This window comes from Homo sapiens, chromosome 4 (assembly GCF_000001405.40).
Source record: "Homo sapiens chromosome 4, GRCh38.p14 Primary Assembly".
NCBI classification, from domain to species: Eukaryota; Metazoa; Chordata; class Mammalia; order Primates; family Hominidae; genus Homo; species Homo sapiens.
In genome coordinates this window covers 171,274,227-171,298,829 of record NC_000004.12, presented here as the reverse complement: position 1 = coordinate 171,298,829, position 24,603 = coordinate 171,274,227, and the positions used below count along the sequence as shown (strand labels likewise).

The window sequence follows — 24,603 nt, the reverse complement described above, 5'->3', positions numbered from 1 at the left end:
CCTTGAGCTAGATACAGAGTGCCGATTGGTGTATTTACAATCCTTTAGCTAGACATAAAGGTTCTCCACGTCCCCACCAGACTCAGGAGCCCAGCTGGCTTCACCCAGTGGATCCCGCACCGGGGTTGCAGGTGGAGTTGCCTGCCAGTCCCGAGCCATGCGCCTGCACTCCTCAGCCCTTGGGTGGTCCATGGGACTGGGCGCCGCCGTGGAGCAGGGGGCGGCGCTCGTCGCGGAGGCTGGGGCCGCACAGGAGCCCGCAGAGGCGGAGCGGGGAGGCTCAGGCATGGCGGGCTGCAGGTCCGGAGCCCTGCCCCGCGAGAAGGCAGCTGAGGCCTGGCGAGAAATCGACCGCAGCGCCGGTGGGCCAGCACTGCTGGCGGACCCAGTACACCCTCCGCAGCTGCCGGCCCGGGTGCTAAGCCCCTCATTTCCTGGGGCTGGCAGGGCCGGCCTGCTGCTCCGAGTGCGGGGCCCGCCAAGCCCACGCCCACCCGGAACTCCAGCTGGCCCGCAAGCGCCGCGCGCAGCCGCGGTTCCCGCTCGCGCCTCTCGCTCCACACCTCCCTGCAAGCTGAGGGAGCCGGCTCCGGCTCTGGCCTTGGCCAGCCCATAAAGGGGCTCCCACAGTGCAGCGGTGGGCTGAAGGGCTCCTCAAGTGCCGCCAAAGTGGGAGCCCAGGCAGAGGAGGCGCCAAGAGCAAGTGAGGGCTGTGAGGACTGCCAGCACGCTGTCACTATGATGTGTCATGGCTAGGTATAGCATTAACAAATTTCTATGAACTTTGTACAATTTCTGAAATAACTGTATTAATAATATTTGCCCAGACAAATATCATGTAGAGTAGGCTGAATATCTTTTTTATTTGACAACACTTTTCATGCAATTTAACATATCAAATAAACCAAATTATTTGTAACATCTCTCTTTTACACAACAAAAGAATAAATTGTTTGAGGTTATTCAGCGTCCTCTTGGGAATCTCAATGTCAGTTCAAGAACAACAATCTTTTATTTAGGATTTGATTTTGGAAGGACAAAATTGTAAAAAATATGTTAAAAAATTAGTTTTTGAAAACTGCAGTCTGCATGCTCTTAATTAAGAACATGATGAAGGTTAACATAAAGCACAGGAAATTCATCTGATAGAACAGAAATCTTGGTTTCCTATGCAGATTAATTAAATGGTAAATAAAACCTTTCAGTCTCTCATTTTATTAAGATAATACTGTAATCGGAACAGTAATCCAATAAAGCTATAATTTTAACAGAAAAAAGACAAATTTTTGTTTTGCATCAATCTACTTTTGATAATAAACATAATTTTTTTTAAATGTTGTAAATAAATGAGTTCAATCTTTGCCAATTTGGCCAAATAATTTTTTTTCACAAACCTTCTCTAACTTTCCATATATATTCAGTTTTTGTCCTGTATTTTTCTTTCTTCTCATTCTGGAACAACCGATTGTTTTAGTTTAGGACGAATTATTGTCCTAAACACATTTTTAATACCTTATATACTTTTTCTTATCAAAACTACCTTTATATTCCTTTCATACTTTTTATACTAAGTTGTTGCCCTTATATATTTAGTAGTTTTATTTTCATATGTTGATTATAATTTTAACCATTGGTAATCTTTCCTTAACAGAGAAAGTTAGGCAGTAGACATTTGTAAGTTGTCTGTTGCTTACCAGAATTCTGTAGATAACTAGCAAACTTTACAATTATACTATATGACAATTTTATTGGTATGAATTTTCTCGCAGTATAATTTTTCGATATGTCAAAAAGTACACGTTTATTACCAGAACTAAATATCTTTAATACCCTTATACCGTATAAAAATAAGAAGTCAAAAGAATATAAACTGAATCTTACGTTTGGTAATTAAGGTTTCCATAGTTTATCTTACTCAGAGATTACCTGGAACTTTTTTTAGACAGATGTATAATGTTAATCAAAGCTAGCCACCATCTCCAGTTTCTTACCTGTTGACTGTTTTTATAGCACATGCATGCATGTGAGACAAGTATAAAACACACACAAACTACAAAAAGTTAAATGCATAGGTTTTTCCAATTGTTTTACTATATGTTTAACATGCATAAAGTAATGGACTTCAAGAAATTCATTTTTACATGGATGAAATTGGAAACCATCATTCTCAGTAAACTATCGCAAGAACAAAAAACCAAACACCGCATATTCTCACTCATAGGTGGGAATTGAACAATGAGATCACATGGACACAGGAAGGGGAATATCACACTCTGGGGACTGTGGTGGGGTCGGGGGAGGGGGGAGGGATAGCATTGGGAGATATACCTAATGCTAGATGACACGTTGGTGGGTGCAGCGCACCAGCATGGCACATGTATACATATGTAACTAACCTGCACAATGTGCACATGTACCCTAAAACTTAGAGTATAATAAAAAAAAAAAAAAAAAAGAAATTCATTTTTACTGCACCTTTACTTGTATATTTTTTCTTAGGATGAATTTATAATTTTGGCTTGTAAAACCAAGTAGAACGACGATGTATGCTCATACTGTACTAATGCCAATATCTTGGAAAACATGGCTGTTTTTATTAAACCAACAATATTAAATTAGTCTTTAAAGATTTACTCAAAATACATGAACTAAAAAAGTATATGGGTTACTTTCTATGTTTCTGGGAGTGTTTGAAATATTTAATTTATATAAGCACTTATTTATCTCTAAACCAATTTGAATAGAACTTTTTAAAGTTTTTTATAAGTTAGTTTTTTAATGCCATCTACAGTTAGATAAATATCACATATGCATAAAATACATACATACATATATAGATAAACACACAGACATACATGGAGACCTTACAGCTTACATTCTAAATAGAAGACTCTGCTTTTCCCACTTTACATTTCTTCTCTCAGTTGTATTTCTGGAAGAGAGAACAAGCTAAGTTTCCCTATTTAATATGAGGGTTAATGCTTTTTACCCATATTTATTGGGGAGACTTTTAGGATTTTCTTCAATTCTAATATGTATTCTTAAGGAGGCTGTGGATATTGCTCAGCATTAGTAATAGCAAATCAGGAGGTAGCAGTAGATAATCTATTAATTTGTATAACATAGGCCAAATTATTTAATCTAGAAAATATAATTAAAAGAGAAGATAAATATTTTTACCATTTCTGTAATTGGCTAAAATGTTTGAAAATCAGTTATCCATTCGTATGACAACATTTAATAAGGAACTTCTTAGAATTCACTATTTTTTCATTAAATATACAAAAGGGAACACAATATAGTCCTCTGCTTTTAGAATCTAACAGACTACATCATCATTCTCATCTGTTACTAAAGAAAATAAAATTTCATCCATTAGAATATTTAATATTCCAATAGGTTTCAATTGTAGTAAATACCCAAAGATTTTATAAAGTCAGCTACCAGCCATCATAATATATATTATTAAGAAACAATTATGCCAGAAAACAAAATCAATAATAATTCTCCAGGAAATCATATCCAAAGTAATTAAATAGTGATATAATAAAGTATTCACTGCCAGAAATGGTTTTTTGAGAGTTGAGGATAATGGCCAATGATGAAGGACTTTAGGAAAGTGAAAGTGTAACATATTTCAATTCACTAACGATTATTTCACACTAGGTATCCATACATTTAGTAGTAGTAATTGAATTCCAAATATAATCAATTAATTGCCACATTATTTTAAATATTCTTTTAAAAGGAAAGTATGTAATAACTATTAAATAACTTATCTTTGGAGTTCAAAAAAGTAAAAAATTACAGATTCTTTGGTTTTTCTAAATTAATGTCTACTTTATTAGGCATTAGTCAACAAAGACTCATTGAATTTTAATGAACCGATTTTTAGATATGTTCATCAATAAGATTTTACAGGTTTTTTTTTTCTAGTCTCAACTCATGGAAGACATTAATTATAATGAAAAGAGCAAGCTGCTGTTAAGTGTATCTGGGCAATTGCAAGAAAATCCAGACTGTGAAAATACAAATTTGGAAATTAAAAAGGGAGTTTCTCATGAAAGCAAAATTGAAAACGCTTTCAGTTCACCTGTATTTTCTTTATTTCTATGGGGGAAAATTCATTGAAGGACACAGTCATTGTGGAAGAAAAAAATCTAACAATTTTCTAGTAATTTGATTACTACAAGTAAACACTCTTTTGCCTTACCTAAGTAATAAATGTATTCTTGAAATTTGGAGCATTTTTATTCACTAAAAATAGCAATATCATTTTATACATATTTTATCACTTGGTGTTTATTCAGGAAAACAAAAGCTTCTTCAGGTGTTTTGAGAAGGAAGTAGCTTAAAATAGGAAAATTGAAGCTTAAACAGTTGGAAGCTAGAGTAATACAGGACAGAGAATCTGGAATTGCAGGAATGGACTCAAAGTTCTCTAGCACCCACTTGGGTATTTTCTGGGAGAAAGTTCAGAACTATTATAAGCCACCACTGATGACATCCGCTGCCAACAATACCAATGTTAGTTATTCTCAGGACACCATGCAAAAGCTGCAGATAAATCATAATGTCTGATGTCTGCTGTTTTCCACAGGACTTCCCAAAGCTGCCATGGAAGAATAATGGCTTCTGTCTTTTCCATCATCCTGGTCTACATTTGGCCATTCATTGGTGGAATCTGATGAAAATTCTCCTGGTAGGTGAGTTGGGAAAATTGAGTTTTCAGGCTCTGTACCTCCATGGGGAAAAGGGAGGAGCTTTAAAAAGCAGGAATGGCATTGTTTTCAATGAAATAACTAAAAAACACTGGACCTCTCTTTTTACCATGATTTCACATCTGCTTGTTTAAAGGAAACTTTATGATTTTTTATGTTGATTAATGTTCTTATAAATCAAGTAATTACATCTTGGTGTGGTTCTTTATGTAATTTTACATATTCATGGAGTATATACATCTTTGACAAATGTAGCTTAGGCTTAATGTTTTGACATTTCACTCATTCTAACAATTTGATGCAAATACTCTATTGAAATTCTTCCTGCTAAGGTCAACAAGGACTAGTTGTCAATGCCCATGGCTCATTTAAAATTCTTGTTACATTTTCTTTTTCTGTGTTATTATTAGTAGTAACAGTTCACATTCTTGAAATCATTGTTCACTTGACCTTTGTTCAGTAGGGTTGAACTTTATTATGAGCCCTGTCCTTACTCAGCCTCCATTTCTATTACTATTCCTTTTTTTGCCTCCATTTTACTCCTTTTTCTTTACCAACATCATGTTTTTTCCTAAGTCTTGTTTTCTTCTCCCTTACAGCTCTATAAATTATCTCTGTCTAGCATTACTCTGAATAGCTCTATTTAAATAGCTCACAAAAATGATAATTCATAATCTTTATATATATAAGAATAACTTTAATATTCAATGACTTCTCTTTCTGTATTCTCTCTTTTGGTTACTTCATTATTTATTCAGTGAACTAAAAGATCAAATTCAATACCACAGTTAAAGGCACACATGGAAACTATGCTTTCTTTGACTTTTTACCCTGGTCTAGAACACAGCACAATGTCAAAAATGATGGTTAAACAAATAAGATATTTATCTAAAGAAAACAAAAAACATATATCATGTAAATAAATTTGAGAAAATGAAGTGGCAGCAAAATTGTTCAAAACCTCATCTGTTAGAAACTCATTTCCCATACCAGACCAACTCATTCCAACAGAAGCATGTGGTGTACATGATAAGGAATCTCTAAGTGATCAAGACAGAAATAAAAAGCGATGCAAGTTAGTGAATATAAGTTTTCATATGTCGATGAGTGACAAGTATTTATTTAAGAAGATGTACTAGTCTCGGAAGTGTTTACATTAATGAAATAAACTGGAAGGTTATCAAAAGCTAACTGCAAAATCACAAAGAAGACCAATCACCTTGTTCGCTAAGGCGGCTGTCTGAGAACGTCTCCAGATTAGGAAGCACACAGGCACCTTGCTTTTCGAATTTGCAGGAGCCACATATAAGTATATTTAACATAGGCATTAGGATTATAGACAATAGCAAATCTATTCTAGTGATGTAAAGTATATGTTCCTTAATATATCATTCAGAACTCACCCTTTCTACCACATCTAATGTGGATTGCGTGCCTTATCCCACCTTTTTATTTTTTACATTCCTGGAGCACCTGGTCACAACTTGAACATCAGTGGTATCACTGACTGCATGGAAATTACCTGGCTACTTGTATGCCTTCAAACAGAAGACTGAACCATTTGGAGGGATGTGTGACTATACTTTTTTTTAAATCTTTATATCACTTCACATGGCTCTTATTAGTTGTTCAATAGTTGCTGAATATTGACACTCGTATGAGTGAGAAGTCCTGACAATGACTGCAATAAACTCAAGTCACCCTTGAAATAGACAGAAATGCTTGAGAGATGCCACTCAGTGAATCAATTTGATAAGCAAGATGTAGGATTTGTAGAACAGTAAAGGAAATGGAATCCAGATTTGGGGTGTTGATGGGGAGATTCTGAACAATTGGTAAGTATGTATATTAAATGAAAGATTTTCAAATTTCTAAATGAGCTTTTTAAAAGTACAATTTACATACAAAGAAAATTCACTTTTAATGTAGTTCTGTGAGTACAGATATATGTATATAGTAGTGTAACCATCACCATAATGAAAATTTAAAGTGGTTCTAACCCCCAAATTCCTGCATGTCTGTTGTAGACAACTCCTCCCTCACACTCTCAATCTTTGTTAGCCACTGCTATGTTTTCTATCTCTATACTCTTACCTTTTCCATGATGTCATAGAAATATAATCTTACTAGACTCTCAGATTGTCTACTTTCACTTAACATAATAAATTTGAGATTCTTGCACGTATGAGTTTTTTTTTTTCCTTTTTGAGTATTATTGCCTCATTTAAAGACATTGTAGTTTGTTTATTAGCTCACCATTTAAACATTTCGGTTGATTCTAGTTTGGAGTAATTATTTTAAAAATCAACTGGAACCATTCAAATACAGGTAGGTTTTGTGAGAATGTAAGTTTTTATTTCACTTGTGTAAATACTAGACTAAAATTGTGATGCCACTTAGTGTTTAACTTTCTATAAAATTGCCAAACTGTTTTCTAAAGTGGGGTGCCGTTTTTTTTCTTTGTAGGATCTATGAGAATTCCAGTTGCTCCACTTGTAGACACTAAGTATTGTCAATTTTTAAAGCTATTCTACCAAGTGCATAATTATATCTTATTGTGGTTTTATTTGCACTTATCTGATAACTAATAATATTACATATTACCATGTACACATTTTCCATTCACATATATATCTATGAATGGAAAATATATTTATATTTCATAATATATATTTCATTATATATATATTCCATAAATTGTCTTCAAAAGTTTTGCCTATTATTACACTTGGTTATTTTATGGAGGTAAAGTGGGATTTTCTTGAGGTAAAGTTAATATAACATAAAATTGATAATTTTAATGTGCACAAAAGCATTTAGAACATATACAATGTTATGTAACTGTCACCTCTATATAGTACCAAAACATTTTCATCACCCCAAAGAAAATTCTGCATTGATTAAGCAGTTACCCTGAATTCCAATCTCTGCCCCAGCTGCTGGCAAACATCAATCTGTCTGTCTCTAAAGATGTACCTATTCTGGATATTTCAAATAAGTCATATCTCAGATCACATACAATATGTGATCTTACTGGCTGGCTTCCTTCACTAAGCAAGATGTTTTTGAGGTTCACCCATATTGCATTATCTATTAATACTTCATTTATTTTTTATGGCTGAATAAAATTCCATTAAGATTATATATTGCAATTTGTTTTTCCATTCATCTGCTGATGGACAGCTGTGTCATTTCTATCTTTTGGCTATTGTGAATATCGCACTGTAAACTGTGAACATACGTATACAAGTATTTGAGTACCTGTTTTTAATTTTTGGGTATGTATCTAGAAGTGGAATTACTGGGTTAATTGTTAATTCTAATTAATTTTTTATGTAGCCACCAAATTGTTTTCTATACTGGCTAAACAATTTTATGTATTTCTATATATTTTCACCATTGCCGATTTCATTTTAAAAAGAATTATATCCATCTTAGTAGATGTGAAGTAGTACCTCATTGTGGATTAAATTTATGTTTTCCCAGTGAGACCAATGGGATTGAGAATTATCTCCTATGTTTTTTGTCTATTTCTCTATTTTCTTTGAAGAGATGTCTATTCAAGTTCTTTGCCCATTTTTCAGTTGGGCTATTTGTATTTTTGTTGTTCAGTTGCAAGAGTTATTTATATATTCTGGATAACACATATTCAGATAGGTGATTTGCAAATGTTTTTTCTCATTGTGTTTGTGATTTACTTTTTTTTTACAATGTATTTTGATGCACACATTTTTTATTTTGAAGTCAAATTTATCTGTTTTTAAAAATTTCATTGCCAATGCTTTTGATATTACATTTATGTTATTGACCCATTTTGAAATCAGAAAATATAAGTCTTCCAAATTTATTATTTTTTTAAAGATTGTTTTTGCTACTCAGGACCACTTGCAATTCATTATGAATTTAAGAATAGGCTTTTCCATTTTTTCAAAATAAAAGGCTATTGATATTTTGATAGAGATTGCTTTCAGTCTGCAGATTCCTTAGGAAGTATTGATATGTAAATAGTAATGTCTTCCTATCCGGAACACTGGATTTATTTCCATTTATTAAGGTCTTCCTTAAGCAATGCTTTCTTGTATTTATTGCACAGATTTTACCTTTTTGGACCAACTTATTTCTAAGTATAAGATTCTATTGGAACCTACTGTAAATAAAATTGTTTCTTTTTTTTTTTTTTTTTCTTTTGATGGAGTCTTGCCCCGTCGCCCAGGCTGGAGTGCAGTAGTGTGATCTTAGCTCACTGCAACCTCCCGATCCCAGGTTCAAGTGATTCTCCTGCCTCAGACTCCCAGGTAGCTAGGATTACAGGTGTGTGCCACCATGCCAGGCTAATTTTTGTATTTCTAGTAGAGACAGAGTTTCACCATGTTAGGCAGGCTGGTCTTGAACTCCTGACCTTAGGTGATCCATCCACCTGGGCCCCCCAAAGTGCTGGGATTACAGGCGTGAGCCACCGCACCCGGCCTGCTTATTCATTTTCTTTTGGGGGTATTTGCTGGTAATTTAAAGGAAAACAACTCATTTTTTGTGCATTGATCTTGTATCCTGGACTGTTAATTCGTTTACTATTATTAAATAACAAATTATTAATAATAAATTAATTATCAATTGTGTGTGTGTTCTTTATTATTTTCTACATATATTGCTTAATGTCATCTGGAAAGATAGTTGTACTTCTTCCTTTCGAATTTGAATGTCCTTTAAGTCTTTTCTCTCTTCTAATTGCTGTAGACAGTTTATCCGTTAAAATGTTAAATAGCAGTGATGGAAGTGGGCATCATTTTCTTGTTCTTTATTTAAAGGGGAAAGGTTTCAATACTTCACCAGTGAATGTGATAGTGGTTGTGGGGTTTTTGTTTTTGTTTTTGTTTCTGTTTTTATACACAGCCTTTAATGTTTTGAGGAAGTTCCCTTCTATTTCTAGAGTGCTGAGTGTTCTTATCATTATTCACGATGCAAAATTTGGTTTGTAATTTTTTTTTCTTCTGATATCTTACTCAGAATTTGGTATGAAAGTAATGCTGGCCACATAAGAATTAGTTAGGAAATGTTTTCTCTCTTCTATTTTTGGAAGACTTGGAAAATGATTAGTGTTAATTCTTCAAATGTTTGGCAGAATTTACCAGTGAAGCCATATGGTCTTGGACTTTTCTTTGCTATGAGTGTTTTATAAATTCCTGCAAAATTGGTTCTCATAGTTTCTGCTAGTTTTTGTTATTGTTTGTTTTGCACTCCTTTCAGGAAGAGCCTAAATTTAGAGTTTCTTATCCCACCATTTTGGCTAATGTCACATAGTACTTTCTTAAAGAGGATTTTTCATGTCTAATCTGAAACCATGCCAATAAATTATTATGCTCTGGAAAATTAAAATCCACTTGTCACTCCGCATGTAATATTTTGATTTTGAATACGATTCTCTAATAAAGAAAGCAAGAATCCTTGCGGAAATAGTTGATTCTACAGCTTGACAGGGGATATGGTTGATGAGCTGGAATCATCTTGCAGCTCCAACAAGAAAGTGCACACATGTACACACATGCATACCATAGTGAGGGTGTATCAAAGGGTGAAAGAAACCAATTTAAAAGAGCTCCCAATGTCCAAGCTTGAAACAATTTGAGCAACAAAATAAATAATAAAGTATTATATTACAACATCAAATATTAAAATACATACATGAGTCCATACTGACATAAATAATGAGCAAATAGATAAATAGATGATCACAATAGACAAATCTTCCACGCAGAACAATTCAGAATAATTTGTGTAGATACTACCCCAAGGATTTGAGCTATACATAGTATTTTTTTCTTAAGAGTACTTTTGGAAAGGGAAAGGGAAGAGTAATTTTACTACAGAGAAAACTGATAAACACTATCTCAGTCAGATGATTATAGTTAACACCAACAGTGGTAAGTTATATCGATAAAATATACCCTTCATATGATTTGATGAAAATGGCAATTTATCTCTGTGGTTTTCTTCTTTCTACCCACCACCTGAAAAACAAATTAAAAAAACCCAAAAAACCATAATCATTTTCTAATCCTCAGAAACAAATCCAGCATACTAAAATTGAAGAGCAGTCTATAAAATGGCTAGTCGGTGTTCTTAAAAGCCTGTTGAGACCAGTCTGAGAAGTCATCAGAATCTAGAGGAGTCTACAAATACTTGACAAATAAATTTAATATGGTACTCTAGAGAGAATATTGAACAGAAAAGGGCATTAAAAACTGTAGAAGTGTTGTTTGTACTTTACTAGTGGTGTACAATATTTGTTTATTACTTGTAACAACCATACCAAAATAATTTATGATGTTAATAATAGAGGGATCTGGGTGTGGGGTATATGGGAATTGTCTGTACTCTTTGCAACTTTAAAAAGAAAAGTAATGTTTGTGACACCTAAATATGAGAAATCAAAGTGTCAATGTCCATAGATAATTTTTTGAAGCATATACATAGAAAAGTTTATTGGTCTATTTTTCATTTTGAGTGGATTTTTAAAATTTATGCATAATTGTATAGCATCATATAACCACTATTTGGAAAACTTTGTTTCCCTGAGTTTTGCAAATACATATGCTGAAACTTGCAATTACAAAGGTCACATTAATCAATTTCACCAGCTATAGCATACAAATATTCTGTAAGAACTGGGCAATGTTGAAGCCCATGGTGGTAGGCATAAGATTTTTAAAAATTTAATTTTTCATTTATAAACTTACATTTTATAATTGACACCAAATACTGCCAGTTGCTATTCTTAGAGTAATAGGCTCACTTTATTTATTTCATAATATAATGGTTGTCTAAATGAAAAATTTCTGTATGAGTTATGAGCTAAACTAGTCACCTATTTTATGGACCATTAATTTTGCTTTAAATTACTGACAAGCAAAAGATGATCATCCATATGCAGGTAGCTGGCAGACATTGTAATTAATTTTATAATGTGAAGGCAACCAATGAAAATATTACACTCCCTTTGTGTTTCTTTGAACTCAAACACAAACAACTTGAAAGAGATACATTGCTATGTAACCAGATGGTCTTGATTATCTATCACACAATTAGATAAGTGTACATGTGAATCAAACAGGCAAACATCTTTTCTCTTGAAATTAGTTATCTATGTAATTTCAAACTTTTTTGTATATAATTGATTTATATACATATATATATGAGTATAAATTGATTATAAGGCTACTACACAAAGAAGTAACAATGCTAATATATACTAAAGGGTGTCCATATATTTTCATTGCATTGTTTGCTTATGCAGTTTGGAAAAATAAAGAAAATAATATTGTGGAGCTGGCTGATGGCTAGAGTAACTCTGGCAAAAATGACAATCTTTTCCTTTTCTTCTTTCCTAATTTCAGTTGCTGCATCAACATTTTCTGTGTTAAAATAATCTGCAGCAATACTGCATTTTACATTGTGACTTTATATGTATCCTTTATTAATATGTTCTTAATACGGTTTTCCGGAAATAGAAGAAGTCACAATTTTATGGTAAAACACACTGTACTACAAGAAGTTGTATGAATCACAGAATTGGAATTGGTTCATATAATGATCCAAATATAAAGGGAAAATACTTTATGTAGTAAATGAAAAAACATGAAGTGGGATCAATAGAACGAGTTCTTCTATAGTAAATTACACCTTCACGAGTTGCATAAAGCTTTCTCATAAATTATTTCCGTTGAGCGTAATGGCAAGCCATAGAAATAAGTAGGAAAGGTATCAGTTTTCCAATTCTAGAAGATGTTGTTATGGACAAAAAAATGTGACACCCCCCGCACCCACACATAAACATATAAAGATACCCACGTCCTAGTTCCTGAAACCTGTGTCTGTTACCTTGCATAACAAAAAGGACTTTATGGATTGTTTAAGTTACAGATATTGAGATGGAAAGCTTGTCTTAGATGATCTGGTTGGGCCTAATGTTATCACAGGTGTCACTGTGATAGGAAGCTTGGAAGGCCAGAGTCACAGAAGGAGATGTGATGATGGAAGCGGAGGTTGGAATGATGGGAGAACGGTTTAGAAGCTGAGGACAGTAGGCTACCTGGAAAAGCTGAAAAAGGCCAGGAAACTGATTCCCCCTAAGAATCTTTGGAAGGAAGATAGCCTTGCTGATACCTTCATTTTAGGACTTCTGATCTCCAGAACTGTAAAATAATAAATGCATGTTGTCATTTTAAGCCATTAAGTTTTTGGTAAATTTTAATAGCAGCATAGAAATCTAATATACATGAGAAAACTCAGATTAAGAAAGTATAAATATTTGTACCCCCAATCTCAAGGCAAATATACTGTTGAGCCTAGACTTAACTTAGAATATCTGATTTGTTTTCAGAGGTAATACCATCATTCACATAACATTATTACAAAAGAATTTCATGTGAAGAAAGTCTCAAGGCATATAGATAGACCAATATAAAAAACTTGGATAGATATCAAAATCACATAAAAAAGTGACAGCAAAGCTAGTCATTAGAAGAACCCCTCCTGAATCAACCAGGATATAAATTTTTACATGAACATAGAGTCAGAGACATAGAAAAATGTTATAGAAAACTGATAGAGTAAAATTTACTCTTGAAATTTTCTCAAACCACGAGTAAAATTTACTCTTGAAATTTTCTCAAACCACCAAAAAGTTAACGTTGAAGTAGATATTCACATGCATTCAATTTTTAAAGTTTGTTTATATTTAAGAATCATCTTTATGTCATTTGAGATCAGTGGGAACTGGGAATTCATTGATGTAAAACAGGTTCACTGTGCACTGGTTACCAGCTTGTCTGAATCTGGCAAGACAGAACTTATTCATACAAATAAGTGGATTTATCGCTTACAGATACACAGCAAGGGGCAATGGAAGCCTGTGATTCATTGCAAGCTGAACCCTCAAGGCTCAGGAAAGCTTCCTGGGATCAATGCAGCCTCATCCGTGCATGCTTCCCTTGCACCGCAGTTGAAGGACCCCCAAAAACAGCCCAGCATGGGTTTTATACCCTGGGGTCCTGTGAAACACTGGGTTAAGGTGTTCAAGATTATCCTATTTCTGAGAGGACTGGAAAAGAGCCCAGGTTGTTCTCTCCAATCTCCTTTTATCTCAGGATGTTGCATTCCCAGCACATCCTACAGTTATTCTTGAAAACTACAAATTAGAAAGCTGGGAGAAATGAGTTGGTGCGAGGCTACCAGGAGAACTGGACTGCAAATAACATTTTGCAACTCACACTGAATCCAGAGAAAATGCTGGAGGACCTGCCTGCAAGGCAGTTTGGCCTAAAAAAATTAAATCAGTGTCCTGCTATCATTCTCTCTGCATAGAGAATTGAATTAAGTTATTCGTGACAGGACTCATCTCCACTGATAAATGGAAAGAAGTGGGAAATGCAGGAAAATGTTTTTCCAGGCTTTGTTGAATGCAGAACCTCTTCATCAGTCCCTTAGAGATTTGAGCAGGACTGGAGATATGGGTATAATCACTTCTACAAACACAATTTTAAAAAAGTCAAATTTGCTCATAATTTAACTTCCCTAGGAAGTATTTCTTACTGGAATGTCCTGAGAGAACATTCTGCTACAAGCTTAATCTCTTTCCATTAGCCATATATTAATTATCTAATTTCTTAAATATAGCATACATGTTGAAGTTCTGGAGTTTTAAAAGTGGGAGGGCAACAGTAAAATTCTTTGAGGTCATTCAATCTTGACCAATCTAATCTAATATTCATTATCTGCAGCCAGTGGTATCTCACTGATAGAAATGTCTTCTCACTGTTCTTCCTGATTGTATTGCCCAACATTTCCACTCCACCACCATTCCTGCTCAGTTATCCTGTTGGAAGGTCTGTTTAAAATATAAGAACATCTCTCACTTTTCTGAAGAAATTTCTTAAATGTTTATCTAAGGTATTTAAACTATACATCTTACCACACCAAGTCTTACAAACTCTATTTTCTTCCCACTTCCACTTTGTATAACCTATATTTCCACAGGATATATTATTTGCATAGGGATAATGATATCAAAGCTGAAATAATAATCTTCTTCAACCTGTATTTATTCTTCAAACCTTAGCTCACAATCGTGTAGCCTTCTTTGCCTGAACTCCAAGATCAATATGAGAGCTTCAAGCTTTGTGCAGATCACAAATTCTCCCTTTTTACCAATGATCACAATTAACTGTACTTATTTATTTATCTCTATGGGATCATCATTTCCTTAATTTTAGGTACTAGTTATTTATTAAATTTAAATCCCCCATGCCTAGTGTAAGGATTGATTGTCACATAATAGACATCCAAAGGTTATTGGTTTGCAGAATAAATTATTTTTTTACTTTTTCCTCTAAATTTACCAAAACGAATTTTACATTACACTCAAAGTTACAGCAATTCTATATTGGTCAAAGTAAGTGACTTCAGCCTGGTAATTAATTAATGAAAATATTTCAATGTTCATATGCTCAGTCTAATATCAGTATTATACTATATCCTTTTGAGGGTGCATGTTTTTTGGAAGCAAACCACCTTCTTCATTGGCCCATTCATTTCTCTGGAAGCAATTAGTCTTTTGCCCAGCGACACGTCTACTTTTCACTTTAGTTGAAATTGGCAAAACTACCACAGGGAAGAATTGACATTTTCCATCAATTTCTGGAAAGTGCAGTAGTGCCAAATGTCATCAGAATTGAGTTATATTGGGAATTATTTTGAACTGCTCATGTACATGCTTGCAAAGTTTAATGTCAATCCTAGTGGCATAACAAGTAGGGCAATCTAGTGTCTGGAGCACCAGACTGGCCCTAAGGTTACTGAGTACTGCATTCAGTTCAATCCATCAAATACTTTTGGACACTTTTTATTATGCTCTTGTTGGACTAAAACTCTGTGGCATTAAAAAATGTGGAGGATGTAGTCTTTACTCACAAAAATCATTCAGTCTAGAAGGAGAGGCAAAAAATCCACATATAAGAAATACTGAATAAGGACTCAGAAGACCAATTCTACAGTATAGCTAGAGAAAATATGCTTGTTACTTCATAGCCACAGAGCATAAAAAGTGAAGTCTTAAATTAAGTTATACCTTTTAATAGACAGCTGAATAACTATTGGGTACTATGTTCACTACCTGGGTAATGGGGTCGTTTATACCTCCTACCTTGTGTATTACACAATATATCCATGTAACAAACCTGCACATGTACCCCTTAATCTATAATAAAAAATTGAAATTGTTTGTTTTTAAAAAGACAAGTGGCATTTTACTAATTGCTGCCTGAATGTTTCAGTCAGGAAGAGCAAAGGAGCTTGGAAAGTTTGAGATCCAAGTAGTCTGGAATGATCAAGGGGCTTTTAAATCAGAAAAGAGGCCTTGGAATAAATAATTAAAGAATGGGCATCAAGTGAAGAGGCTGGGATGGGGGAAGGGAAAGAGCAACAACATGAACAAAAGTACAGAAAGAGAGTGCAGCATGGAATAGATCATGGCATAAAGTTAGATGACGTGTAGGAGGTATCAAGTGTTCCTTCTCTATCAACTACCATCAGGTCGAAGGTGAATCAGAAAGTGTCCCTGTTCCCCCATTTCTTTAGGTGCTGTACAAGGAGATGTCATCAGAAAGCAGACAGACAGGACTATGTATCATGGCTCTAGAATTCTGATTTATTTTACTCCATCCTGTACCAGTACCAGTTATCTAACCTTCCCATCCCCAATTTTGTCTGTAAAAGAAAAATAAGCACAATCTTAGAGTTATCTGGAAAATAAAATTTTAAAAATGCACATAAAGGTCCTTATGATAGTTCCTGGTGCATATTGTATACCATTAGCTATTTATTTACTGCCATGCAAAGATGAAACAAAACAACAAAAACAAAACATTGAAAAACAAAACAGCCAACAGTCAAAAGGAAACAGTGGATTTGAATTGATTGATGATTTCTGCAAGAGTAGAAACATATTATTTAGATGTTCTCATGAGAACAGGAAACAAGACAAAAGTATCTGCCCAAAATCTAAAATGATGCATGCATATTAGTATATATTATATATGATTTTATGACATATCTATGTATATAAACATTGTAATATGTGTCATGCAAGTAAATATATATTTTAAAGTATTTTAAGTAGAATTAACCAGGTCATTCCATTTGATAAAAAAAGGTGGCCTAATACTGTGCAAAGATTCAAGTGTAAAATATTCTATCAAGGTCATAGTTAAATTAATTCAAAATATTATACAAAGTTCTTTCCTGTAATTGGTATTTTGATCACTTATATGCACTGATATTTACAAAAGGCTAGGCACTTATTAAAAAAAACCCCTCTGTTTTCTAATTTCAAAATGTTATCTAATATGTGTAGGCAGATACGAGTGTCCTTCTTAGGGACAACTATTTTTCAGTTGAAATCTATGACTCCCTTACATCAAGACAAGTACTGCACGGTAAGTGCCCTCCTTACTTGTAATTGGGGCACTACACAGGAATCACAGCATCTAATTTGCTCTGGCAGCCGCATGACAGCAGGTTACCACTTAGTATTCTCTGGACAAAAGAAAGGATGATGAAGCACAGCTGTTTTTAAACGTAGCCCATACTGGAAGCTGAATGGAAGAATCTATAACATGTTAAAGCACAACTTGGCAAACACATAGTGAAAATGTGTCAAGCATAAAAGGTAGTAGAAACTCACAAAAAGCCAAAAGAACTTGGGGAAAATATTCTTTAAAGGTTTTTACTTAAAAGGTTATGCGGGATAAGTTTTAGATTTCTTAGAACTCGCTCCTCATTGAGGAACACGTTTGGCTTACTTTTTACAAAGGAAGCCCAGGGTGTGTGTTTTGTAAAGCTCTTTAATACACTGGCACACTGAAACCGTATTTTAGGCTACACAAATGGATTAAAGTTTAATATATCCAAGAATTACTTTACAAACATTTTAGAAATATTACATACTCATTTGATCATATCAGCTCTACCAATAATCAAAAATGATTTTCATCTTGATTCCTAACAATCATTGATTGGTACCAACTACCTGGAGTACTGTTTTGATGATTTTGAAGGTCATTGGTCCTCTCTTAAGCTTTGTTAAAGGAAAGGTCAAATGAAGGAAAGAGAAAATTCAATGGAAAATAGAATAAGAGATTTCAGAGACTGGAAGAAGGAGCCTACCTGTGGTGAGGCTTTTTCTGGGATTTTGAAACTAGGGTCAATATCTATTTGAAAACTTGGAAAAGTATCAAAGATATCTAAGAAAAGACTATCTAACACAGTCTTAGATAAGATTATGTAAGTTGTGAAGAGACATCTAAATTATAGAGCTTATGTATATACATGTATATATATATTTTTCTCTGTATACATATTTATGTGTTACATGTGCATACATAGTATACACATATATTTTATACGTATATGCACACACATACACATAAATATATATATACATATATACAAATATGTGTACATTTGTATATATAAAAACACATATATACATATACACACATGTACAGACATATATCTATTTATACACACATATATACACAGCTAGCGCAAAGGACTTAGTTGAGAATTATTGTTTTGGACTTATTCAGTCCTGTGTTTAGATTCTATTTTGGCTACTTCCAAAATGTGTGGCCTTCAGCAAAGTTACTTAAATTTACTATGCCTCAATTTTCTCACATGTAAGAGAGAAATAATGTGTATATATGTGTGTGTGTATATGTGCATTTGTATATGTGTATATATGTGCATGTACATGTGAGTATATGTGTATATGTGTGTGCTTTACATAAATGTGTGTGTGTGTATGTATATGTATATGTATGTTTCCTGTAATCTAGAACCTAGGCATGGTTAGTTAGTATTTAAGGTAACCAAATCAAAAACCAATGCTTTTATAGTGTTATGCTTACTCCAGTCATGAATCAATGGAGTCAGAATCAATGTAATTAATGCAATCTATTGTTTAAACTCGATTAATAAATTTGTCACCTAAGTTTATTCATTAGTAGAAATGATGTTAGAATATTTTTATGGTGAAATGAAAGTTCAGAGTTTTAACAGGTAGAAAATATCATACATGTATCTCAAGCTCTGCATGGGAAATGTGTAGAATCTGGCCCAACCAATGCTATTGGAGCACTTTTCAAGGTACAGAGTCCTACTGGCTCTGCCTCCCTCCTTTTCACAAAGGATCTGCCACTTCACAGAGTTACAACTCTGGCTGGTCTTCTGTTTATGTATTTTCTCACCTACTTCCAAGTCATCCTTGTACAAAATGCTTAAATTATGGTGCCTTGGTCAGCAAATGGAAATTCTCAGAGATGTAGAATAAGTATATGACTGTTTTTCCAGATTCCTAGTAATGTTTGTATGCTGGAAGAAATTTGGCCTTAGACTTACTTTTATTCAGGCATTCCACTTGGATATGCGGTTCTTAAAGATATCTATCCATTATTAGCCTAACAATCTTACCAAAGGCAACTGTGGCTTGCTGAACCACTAAATTGGCCTGGGTCAGTTTGCAGCAATAATGCTCTCGTTGAATGCTCCCACTGCCAATATACTACAATAATTGCCATCAATACCTTTCTCCTCCCTGGTAGAGTAAACATCCTTTGAAGGGCAGGATTTATATCTTAGTCAGATCCTAACATATAATAAGTTTCTAGCAAACAATTTTAGAATGAGTAAATGGTTGGCCATCCTGAGTCATTTAGAGAGAAGCATAAATATTCAAAAGTGAAAGCCACCCCTGTTGATAAACAGGCTGTGCTATTCCTACCAGGACGTAAAGCAATGTTAACCATGAGACTTCAACAAGGCTATATAAACAATGCTTCTCCAATGAACCCTCCATGGCTGTAAAATGAATAACAACCCCTCCTTTTGAGTTATTGCTCCTTTTTTTTTTTGAACCAATGACATTTTGGTCTAACTTCATTGATCTCATCTCCTAAATAAATGTTGCTGAACTATCCAATTGCTAAATGCTCTGCTTGCTTGACAGCATCCAATCCACAGTTGGTCTTCACTTTACCTTCCTTAGAATCATTCACTACAAAACTAAATCCAATAAAAGTGTCTCCTCACTCCATTTTGTGAGATATTTCTAAGACCTTTTCTGAAATGCTAAATAAAATAATTGATTTAACTATTGAATAAATTAGTTAATAAACTGTTGAAGAGGCTAAATAAAAATAATTTATTTAACTCAGGCTGTGTCTCCAGTGTGCTTTGGCTGGTGGGCTTAGAAGAATACTTAGTATAATTTAAGAAATGATTTTAATCTTTCAAAATTGTATTTTTATAAATTACATAGAGCACATAAAGAACTATATTGAATAAGTTATTCTTGTTTATAAATGTAATTTTCAACATCTAAATTTTATCTGATTGTTTCAACATTTTTCTTAATTCACAGCTCTTAGATTCCCCAACATCTGTGACTTGTCAGCCTCAGTCTTCCATGGTTTGGCTCCATTATCATCACTAAAGCCCTGTTGTATTAATTATAGACTTCATGTAAAGGTCTTTCACAGTTTATCTACATGTATTTATCTACTTTATTATGTCATAAACAAATTAAATGAAAGTTAAGGAAAAAGAACAACTGTCCCTACTTCTCATCTTGAAATGTGCTCTGTAAAGAGAGATGATACAGTTATCTGTGACTCCTCTTAATTAGAGAATAGGCTAGTGAGGGAATCCTGTGACAACTAGATGAGACCCAAGCTATAGACAAAACATAAAACTTCAAAGCCTCTGCCAAGTGTTTGTTATTTGCTAACATATGCTGTATTCTAATCAGCAGTTCATACTCCAGGGGTGGTTAGGTTATTTAGAAGGCCCTAAATATCTAAAGCTACATTACCCTCACATGCACAAAGGAACTGTTAATTTAAAAAAATGAGAAATTACTTTTTACTGAGGAATAAGTAATGCTCCCAGATGTATTGATTGCTTAGAAACATACTAATACTTTGATGCTTGAATGTGCAAGAGTATTAGAATTTGGGGAACCTTGCAACCTATACCATTTGAATTTCAATTCACAGCCCACGGGGTACCCTTGGAAGATTGTGCTGTCAAATATCATAAGAAGTTAGCTGAATTAGTCAGTAAACTATTATAACCATTATTTCAAGAGCTCATTTCATGTAAGGTCATTGTTAGCACCAAAACAAACAAACAAACAAAAACCAGGGAGTTAAAGTTTCAATGGGCCTTTATAGAAAACAATACGAACACTTGCAGATTATTTGATAAAAATGTTATTTATGGTGGCATAATTTGCTTTTATAAAATTTCATTTGATTTTGAGATTGTGAGGGAGATCGGGGAGGGAGGAAGCTATAGGACTCACCTAACTTTAATTATGAATCTACTGAATTCTATTCAAACAAACTTGTGAATAATTTGTCTGTTCACAATTGACCCAAGTTAGTTCACAGCACTCCCTGTGGTACAAATCATCTTAATATCTGTAACAGTCAGTAAATTTTCTTGCACAGACCAGATGCTCATATGGTGGGAAGTGAAGAGATGGCACTTCCCTTTAACTTGCACGCTCTTCACTTCCCATCACTTCGTACATCACCCTTCACTGATGTCATTATGACCAGCAGCACCTTGCAGGGAAGGTGGGATGTTAATGCCCAGATTCATGTGGTTGTCAGCAGTGAAAGAACTGAAAGAGCAAGTGTAGAAAAGAGAGTGTTGTAGGCAAAGATGTAATTGGCTGAGAACCTATTATAGAGAGGACAGGTTTAGCAAAAGACTTAAGGAAAGTCAACTTTTCTTCTAAATAATGAAGAGTATAATGACCCTTGAAACAGACAGACAGACAGACTTGAATTAGTGAATCATTGTAGATTATATGCCTTTTACATAGGAATTATGGCTTGGCTGAGAAAGAGAGGGAGAATGAGAGCAAGCGAGAATAAATAATTAATGAATCACTCACATGCTTAGTTATTGTCTCATAGAATGAAATTCTTCAACCAGAAGGTGCTTTAGAGATTACTTTGTCCCAGTTCCTTATACTACACGCAAGAATTTTGAAGCAGGGAGAAAATACATGGTTCATCTCAATGTCATATCAATTATAAGTAGAACTACGACTATAGCAAAGCATAGTTGAGAATTAATGTTTTGGACTTACTTAGCCTGTGTTTAGATCCTATTTTGGGTACTTCCTAAATGTGTGACCTTAAGCAAAGCTACTTAAATTTACTGTGCTCCAGTTTTCCCATGTGGAAAACAGAAATATACTAACCCATGAGAAATGTTATGAGGATTAAATGCAATTAAAAAGCATTTAACATTATGTTATTATTTTGAAATATTTTGGTGGCCAAATATATTAGGTTGTTTTATTTAAAAAAGATTCAGTCTGAGATTTTATCCTAATCAAATATTGAATACAATGAATTAGTTTAGGTTCAGCAAAGTTTGATTAAGAAGTATATGAAATTAAAGGGGGTCTAAAATGTGTGTCTACTTTACATATTTTTACTCTATTTAATGAAATAACCCTTATGTAAATTTACTTATGAAGAAATAGAATTTCAGAGTTAATAATTTTCCCAGTCTTACAGCTAACAACTGGAGGAATGGACTGTGATCCTTCTTTTTGTGTCTTTTCAGACTCTTAATTGTGATGTAATATATCACATGCCCTTGTCAGAATGAAGAGAGCCAAAAGTCACCACGGTGATTATAGATGCCTAGTTGTTATTTAAACAAAGAGAGTCACCAAAAGCTTACTGATTTCACTTGCTACACAATTTTGCTTTGGATGATCTATGAACAAGTACGCCATGCTATCTAAAACAATAGTGACCAAAGATGAAAAAGAAAATTTAATTCTTTTATACTACATAACTTTTATTATGCTGTGCTTAAGGAGACTCAAGTTTTTTCCTATATAAATAACAATACTGTCACAGAATATTAGAAATCATAAAGGCCACTGATTTTGAAGTATAAACACTAACTTTTATACTGAACATAAAAGCAATACTATTGAACCATTAATCTGAAAAAAATCTCAAAAGAACGTTTAATCTATCTCTTGCCTCAAGAAAGAACTTTATCAAAACTATTTATGTGAAATGCTAAATGCCTCCCAAGTATTTCAGAATTTCATTCAACCTAATAGGCTACACATATACAATATGTATTGTATATGAATCTTAGTCAACTCACATGTACAAGGATGGTAAACTATTTTTTCTACAATTTATTTTTCATTTCCAGCCCACATCCATCGTTGTCATTATACTTTCCCAGAGTTGTGAATTTATTGCACAGGTATTTTAGATTTGAAGGAGTCTGTTGAGACGCTCATTTTAATAGTTGGCATTACATTTTTGGCTCTATGGTTCTCTGTGTGTTTACTTACCTATTTTGCTTTCTGACTCTGCCAGAATACAGACAGAACAGAGTTATCTTCTCCCTGGGTTTCTGTTTTCTCACTGCTACCAGTGCATAAAACCAGTTTCTCTCCCATAGGCGTGACTGAATCAGAAAACAATACAGGATTGATTCACTTTCCTTCACCATCTCAGATATGCTCTCCTCTCATTTGGCTGAATCTGTGGGCAGATTCTTTTCTCTTTATGTTTACCAAAGTTATCCTGGTGGAGAGAGAAATTCTCTTTGACAATTGTTTTAACAAACGTTCTTGGTAGTTTGTTATTCACCTGGCTGAGATCATAACCATTTCTGAACCAATAACCATTTCTGAGTCAATCAGCGGCACTACAAATGCACAATAGTCTGATTTTGATCCTGTGTCCAGTTCTAGAGCTGGGTTGGTGTCCTCCTATGCACAGTATGTGTACTGAGAGTTAGAGATATCAATTACTGAAAGGAAACAAGGTAGGGGAACTGGAGGCTGACTATTTAAAATGATAAAATTAATTTCAGTATTAAACTCCTGCCAGCATTACTCTCAGCCCAATCCTGTCTCCTCATTCATTTCCCATTTTTGTGGAATCTCACACTTCAGAGATAAAGCTATGTTCTTTACTCTATTTGGCCAAGACATTTTCATGGCCTTGAAACTTCCTTTACTTAACCATACATCTTTTCTAGAATCCTCCTAATTGTGTGTGCTTTTGGAACCCAAAACCAAGAGGGACTGGTGTACATTCTTCTTGATTTAGGCAATGATTATCTGCTTGAATGATGGAGAGGGAAAGGAAGAAAAACGATGGGAAGAAGATGTATGCTGATGTTCAAAATTGTATCCTGATACATGGTTTAAACTCAACTTTATGCTTAATGACATGAAGAGTTTTCAATAGCATAATTAAACAACATATAATATCTATAGTATAAAAAATAAAATGTTAAAAACGGTACATTTTCTAAAAATAAATATAGCAGAGAAAAAGAAGCCTCTTTTTACTAATAAAGACAAATACACTGCTGATGAAACTAACGGTTCATTGTTGAGTAGTAAGACGTCCAAGAGGCTGGTTGGTTCTGATCTTTCAGCAGGGATGTAGCTATACCTTTTTGAATTCCAGGAACCTAGTATACCACCTGACATGCAATTAGTAAATTTGAGAAAAAAAAAATAAATGCATAGATTGTGCTATCATTACTTTAATTTTATTTTTAAAAGCCATGCACTGAGATATTTTTTCTTTATTTATATTCTTTGATCAATTAAAACACTTCACACCTTAAAGAGGAAGAAAGCCTAGGCACGCAAGTTTTAAGAATTTTACCAAACCTAGAAAAAGCAACCCAAAACAATGGTAATATCCCCAATTTTTTTCTGTGGTACAAAGGTAATGTGATAATTATTTTTTGTTGTTTT

General features: G+C 34.0%; 2 long non-coding RNA genes across 2 annotated transcripts; one reads left to right on the top strand and one right to left on the bottom strand.

Moving 5' to 3' along the window:
* Positions 1-530: 530 nt before the first annotated feature.
* LINC02504 (long intergenic non-protein coding RNA 2504) lies at positions 531-9,337 on the top strand. Its single transcript, NR_183809.1, has 2 exons — positions 531-756; positions 4,601-9,337. It is a non-coding gene; the product is annotated as a long intergenic non-protein coding RNA 2504 (long non-coding RNA).
* Positions 9,338-10,474: 1,137 nt separating this feature from the next.
* LOC105377534 (uncharacterized) lies at positions 10,475-22,418 on the bottom strand. The gene is made up of 3 exons (XR_939443.2): positions 22,368-22,418; positions 12,808-12,910; positions 10,475-10,726 (listed from the first exon to the last, which is right to left on the bottom strand). It is a non-coding gene; the product is annotated as an uncharacterized LOC105377534 (long non-coding RNA).
* Between the last annotated feature and the right edge of the window lie 2,185 nt (positions 22,419-24,603).